Source organism: Homo sapiens, chromosome 13 (genome assembly GCF_000001405.40).
Source record: "Homo sapiens chromosome 13, GRCh38.p14 Primary Assembly".
NCBI classification, from domain to species: domain Eukaryota; kingdom Metazoa; phylum Chordata; class Mammalia; order Primates; family Hominidae; genus Homo; species Homo sapiens.
The window spans coordinates 99,472,288-99,484,335 of NC_000013.11; positions in this window are offsets into that span (position 1 = coordinate 99,472,288).

Here is a 12,048-nt window from a genome sequence, read left to right on the forward strand (position 1 = left end):
TGCTGTGTAACCCTCAAGACTTCCACAGCTAAGGAAGTAAAGGAAGATCCTTACTCCTCTCAAATCTATCTGTCTTTAACTCCTCAGAACACCTGCTCTTATACAACAAGAAAATGGTGAATTTATTCATCTTTAAAACAAAAAAAAAAAACAAGATTCTAGCCAGGTGTGATAGCTCATGCCTACAATTCCACCACATTGGGAGTCCAAGGTGGGAAGATCACTTGAGCCCAGAAGTTCCAGACCAGCCTGAACAACACAGCAAGGTCCTGTCGCCACAAAAAATTTAAAAGACAGCTGGGCATGGTGGCACATACCTGTAGTCCCAGCTCCTTGGGAGACTGAATTGGGAGGATCACTTGAGCCAGGAGGTCAAGGCTACAATGAGCTGTGTTCCCACCACTGCACTCCAGCCTTGGGGGCAGAACAAGACCTTGTCTCAAAAAAAAAAAAAAAAAAAAAAGATTCTAAAACTTAGGTTGTTTTAAATTAATTTTAAATTACACAAATAATATAAATAACTTCAAGAGTTATAGATAAATTTAAAGTCTTCTCGCTTCCAATCTTAATACCTGCTTTCACTAAGCTGTTGTGTATCCTTCCAGATTATTTCCTGTGCACTAACATATATATTTGGGTAGCTGTTGAAGCATGTAGAATTATTTGATTGTGGGCCAGGAGTGGTGGCTCACGCCTATAATCCCAGCACTTTGGGAGGCTGAGGCGGGTGGATCACCTGAAGTCAGGAGTTTGAGAGTGGCCTGGCCAATGTGGTGAAACCCCATCTCTACTAAAAATACAAAAATTAGCTGGGTGTGGTGGCACGTGCCTGTAAGCCCAGCTACTCGGGAGGCTGAAGCAGGAGAATCACTTGAACCCAGAAGGTGGAGGTTGCAGTGAACCGAGATCGTGCCATTGCACTCTAGCCTGGGCGACAAGAGCAAAATTCCATCCTGAAAAAAACAAAACAAACAAACAAACAAAAAAAAGAATTATTTGATTTTATTTTAGGTTCCAGAACTAATAATGGGAGTCGAGGCCAAATCTTTAAGAGGTTACAAATGCCTGTTAATGGCTTTAGTGATATCTTTGTGCTGTGTGGTGTCATTCTCAAAGGCAGACAATTGCTCTACCAAATTGCCAACTTGAAGCATAGTGTCTGATAACAACTGTGGATTTTTGAAAAACAGCATTGCCCTGTGGGATGCCTGTGGCCTCACTTACTGCTGGTAGTCATGGCAGGAATGGATGCGGGAGGCTGGGATCCCCCAGCGTGGCTGGGAGTGTTGACTGCCATCTTCCCTTAGGGGTGTGCATCTGAGGTCCATGCTGCTCCTCAGAATCTCAGAATTCTGTCGTGGGTGCTGCAAAAACTGACTAAGGAGGCCAAATGCACTTGGTTTACATTCTTCTCTCTAGATCTTTGGATAAAACAATTTAAAAATTTCGCCCAGTGTAACTTTGTTTATTTTTGTGAAGCAAAATCAAATAAGCCAAGTGCCATTGGAACTCCTGGCAGCTTCCTAATACTTAATACTTGATGAAAGTCCTGCAAGACAATCCAGACTTGATGAGGACGGGAAGCCGATATTTAGTCGATGATGGCATCATCACGTCGATGTTTTTTTCATTTCCTAAGGAATGCTGGCTGCACACCAAGAAATGAAAGTTGTTGGTTAATGGATGCTAATGGGAAACCTAATGAGGCAGTGGAGGCCAGCACTTTTCACGCTATGGCCCATGGCAAAGCAGAAGATTGATGGAGAGATGAGAGCACTGCCAGTTCTTCTATAAGTAAAAGAAACATCTCATCCAAAAGATGTTTCTCCAGTAATGGGGTGAAGCTCCTTTACCCACAGAAGGCTGAACCAGTATGAAACAAGGCCAGGCATCACTCAAGTTAGTCCAATAGCAAAATGCATTTACATACGTAAATAAATATATATATTACCTTTCTATACGACGACATCTCTCTTTTTTTTTTTTTGAGATGGAGTTTTGCTCTTGTTGCCTAGGCTGGAGTGCAATGGTGCGATCTTGGCTCATCGCAACCTCTGCCTCCTGGGTTCAAGCGATTCTCCTGCCTCAGCCTCCCAAGTAGCTGGGATTACAGGCATGCGCCACCATGCCCAGCTAATTTTGTATTTTTAGTAGAGATGGGGTTTCTCCATGTTTGTCAGGCTGGTATTGAACTCCCAACCTTAGGTGATCCGCCTGCCTTGGCCTCCCAAAGTGCTGGGATTGCAGGCATGGGCCACCACGCCCGGCCGATGACATCTCTTTACAAAGAAAACGTGTGTTCATTATTTCTAAAAATAGAAATATTACATAGTCAAAAGGGGGGAATCACCTTTATTCAACTATCACCTTTATTCAACTGCAAAGAAATAACCCACTGTTGGTATTTTCACGTGTGTCTTTCCATTCTTTTTTGTTTAAATATATATGTATATTTTAAAAAATCTTCCTGTGAATTTTAAGATATGTATAGATTTGTGTGGCCCCCACCAAAATCAGACTATCCAACAGTTCTATCACCCCCTCAAAATCCCCTCTTATATACCTCGATAGTCACACCTCCCTCCCTTGAATCTCTGCATCTACTGATCTGTTTTCAGTCACTGTGGTGTTAGGTTTTTGAAATGTCGTATAAATAGAGTCATAGAGAATGTAACCTCCTAAGACTCAGTGTGTATGACATTAATCCGTGGTGTTGTATGTATCAATAGTTCATTCCTTTTTATTGCTAAGTACTATTCCATTGTATGACTGTTCCCATGGTTTGTTTATTCATTTACTGGTTGAAAGGCATTTGTGTTGTTTCCAATTTTGGTGATTGTGAATAAAGCTGCTATAAGTAGTTACACACAAATTTTCGTGTGAGCATAAGCTTTCATTTCTCTAGGGTTTAAATACCTAGGAGTGGGATTAATGGGTCATATGGTAAGTGTATGTTTAACTTTGTAGGAAACTGTCAAACTTCCCGCCTAAGCAACAGAGCAAGACCCAGTCTGATATAGTTTGGATGTTGTCCCTATCCAAATCTCATGTTGAAATGTAATCCCCAGTGTTGGAGATGGGGCTTGGTGGGAGGTGATTGGATCATGGGTGCAGATTTCTCATGAATGGTTAAATATCATTCTCTTGGTACTGTCCTCGCGAGATGTGGTTGTTTAAAAGTGTGTAAAAGGAAAATATCTTGGGGCCCCAAAAATCACTAAGTTAAAAGGAAAAGTCAAGCTGGGAACTGCTTAGGGCAAACCTGTCTCCCGTTCTATTCAGTCACCCCTCTGCTCACTGAGATAAATGCATATCTGATTACCTTCTTTGGAGAGGCTAACCAGAAACCCAAAAGAATGGAACCATTTGTCTCTTATCTACCTATGACCTGGACGCCCCCTCCCCACTTTGAGTTGTCCCGTCTTTCTGGACTGAACCAACGTTCACCTTACATACGTTGATTGATGTCTCATGTCTCCCTAAAATGTATAAAAGCATACTGTGCTCTGAGCATTTTGGCCACATGTCATCAGGACCTCCTGAGGCTGTGTCACAAGTGTGTGTCCTCAATGTTGGCAAAATAAACTTTCTAATTTAACTGAGACCTGTCTCAAATTTTCTGGGTTCAAGTTTTGGTAACCATGAAGGGATTCTGAGCGGAGGTGCCCCTGACCTTTGACAAATCTATTGGTGCTTGGAACCAGCATGAGCTAATTTTATGGCTCAAGCCAATAGGACAATTTGCTGAGGTCTGGGAGAACCCCCTCCAGAGAATCCCTGATCTCCCAAAATTTGGTCAAGATCTAAAGTTTATTTTGCTGTACAACTCCCTTTTTCTTTTGAGTTTTACTTGCTTCCAACAAGGAAGGCAAGTTTTTCCTGCTTCCATGACAACGGAAGGCAGGTAACTCCTTTATGGAGTTTGAGCTCACTTCCAACAAGAAGGATGAGGGTTTTTTCCTGCTTTTAGGGTGATAGAGAGCAGTCTTCAGCCTGAGACCCATCCCTAGGTAAGTAACTGAATTGGGGTTTGTCTTGGCTAAAGTTAAGATTAACAACCAGCTTGTCTTAATTTCTCCTCACCACTAGAGCGCTCAATAGTTGTATAAGTTGTGCGATCATTTGTTTTGCTTAACTGCGTTTTTTGTTGTTGTCGTTTGTTTCTGTTCTTGTTGTTGTTTCAGTCTTTTTCCCACTGGGTTTGATCAACTCTATCCGGCTTGATCAAATCCAAAGGAAAGTTCCAAATTATGGGGAACAAGGCCTCTGAAGTGGCTAAATTCCACCCCGCCACCCCCCCCCCACACACACACAAAAGGTGGTATGGTGGGGGAGAAAAACGGCCGGAAAAGGAAACCAAAAAAAAAGAGGAAAGATTTTTCATTTTGACTACTAAGGGACTTTATTTACATAACAAGGCCACCTTTTTGCTAGCGAGGCCCAACCAAGAGAGCAATGGCTGTACTTCTGAAATAGCAGCAATTTGTCCTAGCTGAAATATGGTGATGAGATCTTAAAAGATTTTTTTTAAAGGAGCTCAATGATGAAAAGTCAGCTTAATTAAAAGCTAACATTCAAGAAGTGTGTGTGTATGTGTGCGTGTGTGTATGTATGCATGTGTGTGTGCATATGTGTATGTGTGCATGTGTGTGCATGTGTGTGTACGTGTGTGTATGTGTGTGTGCATGTGTGTGTATGTGTGCATGTGTGTGCATGTGTGCGTGTGTGTATGTGTGTGCATGTGTGCGTGTGTGCATGTGTGCGTGTGTGTATGTGTGCGTGTGTGTGTGTGTGCGTGTGTGTATGTGTGCGTGTGTGTATGTGTGCGTGTGTGTATGTGTGCGTGTGTGTATGTGTGTGCGTGTATGTGTGCGTGCGTGTGTGTATGTGTGCGTGTGTGTATGTGTGCGTGGGTGTATGTGTGCGTGTGTGTATGTGTGCGTGTGTGTATGTGTGCGTGCATGTGTGTATGTGTGCATGTGTGCGTGTGTGTGTATGTGTGCGTGTGTGTGTATGTGTGCGTGTGTGTGTACGTGTGCGTGTGTGTATGTGTGCATGTGGGTGTGTGTGTGCATGTGTGTGTATGTGTGCGTGTGTGTGTGCGTGTGTGTATGTGTGCGTGTGTGTGTATGTGTGCATGTGTGTGTGTTTGTATTTAAAAGGCCTTCATATTTTTGCTTTTGTTTTTCCCCTAGGATCTTGTCTTTTTTTTCAGCAAAAGTTTTTTTCTTCTCAGTTGACCGAATTCTGTTTTCTTCATTTACTTCTGCTGTGTCTTCTTTCTCTTGCACTCTCTGTAGCATGGGTAACCTAAAATAGTTTATAATAGCCTGGGGTTCCTTAAAGAAAACTGAGAAGGCGCCAGACTCCCTCTGAGGGAGAAACCTGTTTTTCCTTATGGAACCCCAAGAATGTAAACAGACAAGTTCATCTCAGCTCTTAAACGGCTTACTTTTGTATTGTGTTACCTGGTGTGTTTTTCAACTAAAATAGTTATTGCAACAGAGGTTACTCTCGGGTTTTTAAGGAAGAGTGTGGTTTAGACACTTAGAAATATGTTTGTTAAAAAAAAGTTTTTTTCTTTAAGTGCACTGTAAGAGCATCACATGGTCTAGCCTCATAATAATTCTCCCTTTTTGGAGACCGAGATTCAATTTCATACCTATCCCTACCAGATACTACAAAGCATCAAAATTTGGCATAGGGGTTACAAAACTATAAACCCAACCCAAAACAGAATGATCTTTGCTTGTGTAGTCTTTAATAAATAAGACATTGATATTGGTTTAATAAAAATAGCTACATCTCAAATTTAGTAAGATTACCATAACTTCTAATCTTATGGCTTTAGGTGGTCTAGTCCACAGCCAGTAAGGTTTGTTATCATCTTTGTTTCAAGCTAAAATATAAACTAAGTTCCTCCCAAAGTTAGTTTGGCCTATGCCCAGGAATGAACAAGGACACCTTGGAGGTTAAAAGCAAAATGGAGTCAGTTAGGTCAAATCTTTTCACGTCTCAGTTACAATTTTGCAATGGCGGTTCCATAGCTTTAAATGATGACTATCACAGTTTTCATAAATAATCTAGGTAAACAATTAAAATGAAATAATTAGGTAAATGTAATAGGATAAATACTTGTAGACAAACTCATAATTTAGAATCTAAAGTTATATTAAACTAAATGATAAATATTTCATTATTTGGGTATTTTCCAATAAAAATATATTTATAGGAAAACATTATTTCTAAAAAAAAAAAAAAAAATCTGTCCTTTTAAAAAAGGTGAACTTAGCTGGGCACGGTGGGTCACGCCTGTAATCCCAGTACTTTGGGAGGCCGAGGCGGGTGGATCATGAGGTCAGGAGAGCGAGACCATCCTGGCTAACACGGTGAAACCCTGTCTCTACCAAAAATACAAAAAATTAGCCGAGCATGGTGGCAGGCACCTGTAGTCCCAGCTACTCGGGAGGCTGAGGCAGGAGAGTGGCATGAACCCAGGAGGCGGAGCTCACAGTGAGCTGAGATTACGCCACTGCACTCTAGCCTGGGGGACAGAGCGAGACTCCATCTCAAAAAAAAAAAAAAAATGGTGAACAGTGGCCGGGCGCAGTGGCTCATGCCTATAATCCCAGCACTTTGGGAGGCCGAGGTGGGCAGATCAGCTGAGGTCAGGAGTTCAAGACCTGCCTGGCCAACATGGCAAAACCTTGTCTCTACCAAAAATACAAAAAATTGGCTGGGCATGGTGGCGGGTGCCTGTAATCCCAGCTACTCGGGAGGCTGAGGCAGGAGAATCACTTGAACCTGGGAGGTGGAGGTTTCAGTGAGGAGAGATTGTGCCATTACACTCCAGCCTGGGTGACAAGAGCGAAACTCTGTCTCAAAAAAAAAAACATTTGAACAATTTTTTGTCTAATTCAAAGCTTATTTAAAGGTCATGTATAAAACAAGGTAAAAGGAACCAGGAAATAAGAGAGATGTAAAGAAAGTTATAAAAATAATGAGGGTTTTTTTTGGTAAGAAACTTAAAGAGAAATAATTTCATATGAGAAAGAATCTTGTATGATAAATTTAGTCCTAGGGTAAAATGACTGGTTGTTTAAGAAGGAGGGATGTTCAGGACAAACCAGAAAGTCCAAGCATATGATGAACCATCTGTGTAAGTCACAATAAGAGGATTTATTTTTTTAAAAACCAAAAACTTTTATATGGTCAAGTTGTCGCATTATTATTAAGTTTTGGTTTGCTTAGGAAAAAACTGAGATTTAAAATTTTTTTAAATTCAGGTTATTACATCCGTGTATCTCTCTGTATGCACTTTTAAAGTACTTGTGACATTGAGTTACAGGGCTTTGACTCCTGGGTCTAAAAAGGACATCAAGTACTGCTAAATTTTAAATGCTGACAGTAATTGAAGACCCATCTTCAGGTCCAGTAGAAGATGCCAATCAAAATAAACTGCATACAGGGCCAAAACTTAAAGCTATTCAACTCCTCAAGGCCCAGGGACTATTGCGGAAGAGGTGGACGAGTGAGATTGTATGGGCCAATTTTGAGAGATAAAATATGTTCAATTTCTCTATAAATTAATCATTAATGTTAAAGGCACACTGATGCAAGACCAGCATATGGGCCCCTGTGTCAGATTAACAAGGTTTTTATGAAGCATTCACCAACTCCTTAATACAGGCCACCACACAGGCCAGTTTCTATTTTTTACTAATAAAAACATTATACTGATAAGCATACTTGGAGCTAAATTTTTTCATATATTCTAAATGTTTCCCTAGGACTGATTCTAAGAAGTATAATTGTTCTTTCAAATTGCATATTCTTAAGGCTTTTAAAAAATACGTAATGCCAAACTGTCCTACAGAAAGGCTATTAGACACTTGTCACAGGCCAGGTGTTGTGGCTCACGCCTGTAATTCTAGCACTTCAGGAGGTGGAGGCAGGTGGATCGCTTGAACTCAGTAGTTCAAGACCAGCTGGCCAACATGGTGAAACTCCATCTCTACAAAAAATACAAAAAAGTTAGTTGAGCATGGTGGGATACACCTGTAGTCCCACCTACTTGAGGGGCTGAGGCAGGAGGATCGCTTGAACCTGGGAGGTCAAGGTTCTCAGTGAGCTGAGATCGCATCACTGCACTCCAGCCTGGGTGACCAAGTGAGAGTCTATCTCAAAACAAACACAACAAACAAACAAACAAAAAACCACTCATCATCAGGGTGTGAAATAAGTTGGGTATTATCACTGCTTCCTTAGTAGCTTTAAAAAAAGTATTTTTTTCGTTTTCTTAAAAAATATGCAATTACGTTAATACAATAAGGCTGAATATTTATTTAAATGCTTTTTGCCATTTATATGTCTTTTTTTGTGTGTAAATTATCTCTTCATGTCCTTTGTGCATTTTTATATAGGGACAGTTCATCTGTTTCTTACTGTTGTGTAATAACTTAATTTTATTGCAAGTGTTTTCCTCCCAGAGTTTTATTTCAATGCATCTAAATTGTGTGGGCCCCTTTTGAGTCTTTGCTATAAACCTTATAAACCACGGATCCAGATTTAGAAAATAAAAATAAACAACAAATAAATTGTTTATTAATTATGCCCCAAATAAACATGGGACATACCTATACTAAAAATTTATTTGCTATTTATATGAAATTTATTCTTTTTGTTTGTTTGTTTGTTTTTGAGATGAAGTCTCACTCTGTCACCTAGGCTGGAGTGCAACAGTGCAATCTCGGCTCACTGCAACCTCTGCCTCCCAGGTTCAAGTGATTCTCCTGCCTCAGCCTCCCAAGTAACTTGGATTACAGGCACATGCCACCACACCCAGCTAATTTTTGTATTTTTAGTACAGATGGGGTTTCACCATGTTGGCCAGGCTTGTCTCAAAACTCCTGACCTCAGGTGATCTGCCTGCCTCAGCCTCCCAAATTGCTGAGATTACAGGCGTGAGCCACCACGCCTGGACTTTTCTGAAATTTAAATGTAACTGATAATACTGTATTCTAACAGCCCTAGCTAGAGGCCACAACTATAGTGGAGTGTGGCTGAATTGGGTATTAGGTTTTAAAATCAGCACATTTGGCAAAAATACTGAAGGCCAAAACTGCCCTTAAACGTTCTTTAAGTAGCTTTCAACATTCAGCTTGGAGTTTCGCCTTCCATTCTATATGGTAATTCTCATGCACAATAAAGTTAAGAACCTCTCAGGGAATAAAAGGTCATTCAAACCATCTCACTCTTGTGACCACAGGTATGAGGAGGAAAAACTTGGGGAAGTCAACATGTTCCTGCTCGCCTACAGGCTTTATTATGTTTTATATCAGCTGTCTAAAATGTTTAAACAAGTATTTATTGGTAGTTTTGCTGGTTAAACAAGATAAAATAGTAAAGTTCCTCTCACATGGGCATAATGTTCTCAAGTCAGCTCTCAAGAAAAACATGACCACAGTGTGACTCCGTTGAGTTATTTTTATACAGTTATCCTTCAATCCATGCTCCCCCAAATCCCTTAGTCTAAATTTTACTTTCAACAAACATCCTACCCTCAAATTACTTCTAGATATTTTTCTTTTGGTAAAAATTGTGTATTTTGGATCATTCAGTAGCTACTTGAGAGCAATGGTGGTGAAGGCCTCATATCTCTCCTGGTGCAATAGTATCCTGTTCTGGGCCCATTGTTTCTTTTTATGGATGCTTTTCTAAAAAGTTTGCCCAACATTTTATTTCAGCAAAATATACCTGCTCATACGCAGAAGTTTCAAAGCAATCATTAGCCAGGAGTCCAAAACAAAATGTACAGAATGATGTATTCATTTCTCTTGAGCACTGTTCATAAATGACATTTAAATCTTATTTATTTCTAGCACATTCAAAATATTCCCATGAAACAAAAAAATTGTAATCCTAGCCAAAGTTGTTTGTTTGTTTGTTTTTTGAGATGGAGTCTTGCTCTGTCACCCAGGCTGGAGTGCAGTGGTGAAATCTTGGCTCACTGCAACCTCCACTTGCCGGGTTCAAGCAAGTCTCTTGCCTCACCCTCTCAAGTAGCTGGGGCTACAGGCACGCGCCACCATGCCCAGCTAAGTTTTTGTATTTTTAGTAGAGATGGGATTTCATCATGCTGGGCAGGCTGGTCTTGAACTCCTGACCTTGTGATCCACCTGCCTCGGCCTTCCAAAGTGCTGGGATTACAGACGGGAGCCACCACACCTAGCCACCAAAGTTCATTTTAATAGGATTTGGACTGTAAAAAAGACACTGTCAGATTGTCTACATTTCATTCAATATATTTATATCTATATCTACAGTTACATATATAGTCAATATATTTATATTAATACATGCATTTAAATGTTCACTTAGACTTTTATCTTACATGTTAGATATATTGCTTTTGCTGGTTAATGTTATCTAAGCACACTGACTTTATATGTCTGGTATAAAAGAATCACCTGGCTCTATTCACACTGCTATGGTCTCTGGGAAATCTTGTTCACTTTTGAATAGATTGGCAGGACAAGGAGAAACTTAAACATTCACAAATACATATACATAAATACACATTCCTATATACATACACATATATGCATATAGATATGTGAAACATATATATATATATATTTGAAGTTTGTATTTATCATGAAAAAATTCAAATGCACAAAAGTAGAGGGAATGGTAAAATCAACTTCCATGTACCCAATACTCAATTTCAGTGATTATCAACTTTTTCACAATAATTATATCTATTTTAGTAAATTCTTTTGCAGTGTAACATACATACAGAAGAATATACAGATCATAAGTGTATAGTTTGATGAATTATCACAAAGTGACCACATCCAGATAACCACTACCCAGATGAAGGTAGTGGTTTAGGTAAAGGTAAAGGTAAACTTTACCAGCACTGCAGAAGCCCCAGGCTCTCCTACTCACTACATCCTTGTAATTCGCACAAGGAAACCACCTTCTTGACTTCTAACATTCCAGATTTGTTTTGCCTGTTTTTGAATTTTATATAAATGGAATCATGCAAGTGTTTAACTTCTTTTGCTTAACATCATATTTGTGAGATGGATATATGCTGTTGTGCTTAATAGTAATTTTACGAAACTACGCTACAAATTCTTTATCCTTTCTACTATAGATGGACATTTCAGTTCTGTTTTGGTGAACATATATTTTAGTGAATATATGTAGGCATTTAGAGCTAGGAGTGGAATTTCTGGGTTACAGAATAGGTGTGCCAAACAATTTTCCACAAATTTACACTCTCATCAGCCGTGTGTAAGCATTCTAGTTGTTCTACATCCTTATCAACACTTGGAATTGTCAGTCTTTCAAATTTTAGCTATTTTAATGCTTGTGTTGCTGCATCTCATTGAGGCTTCAATTCGTAGTTTCTTGATGAGTAATAAGATTGAACATGTTTTCATTTTTGTTGACCATTGGCTATCTGTAGAAGAAGAATATTTGCTGGCTGGATTCAAGTAGCTGTTCTCCTCTGGATTATCATTGTTGTTTTAATAACTTCATTGGGCTATAATTTACATACCATGCAATTCATTCATTTTAAGTGTTCAATGATTTTTAGTAAATTTACCAAGCTGTGTGGTCATCACAATAATAGTTTTTAGAACATTTCTATCACCCCAATAAGACCACTCATGCCCTTTAACATTTAATTCCCCTTTCCACACCCACCTTCAGGAAACCATTCATCTACTTTCTCACTCTATACATTTGTCTTTTCTGACTCTTCCAGGGCTTTATTTCATTTTTATTAATTAACAAATTAGTAATGTTACTTATCCATCAGTTTCTGTGTCTGTGGCTAATACAAATTCACCCTTGAGAGATAGGTCTATTTTTAGTGTCCTGACAAGTAAGCTGTCTCCAGCTCTTGAATTGTCCTGGATTCTCCTGGATTCTGCAGTGTCAATGCTCTTCAGCTAAAGACCACCAGGAACACAACTATAGTTGGGTTTATTTCCTTGTTGCAGCAAGGGAGAACGCACACTATGAGGAACGATG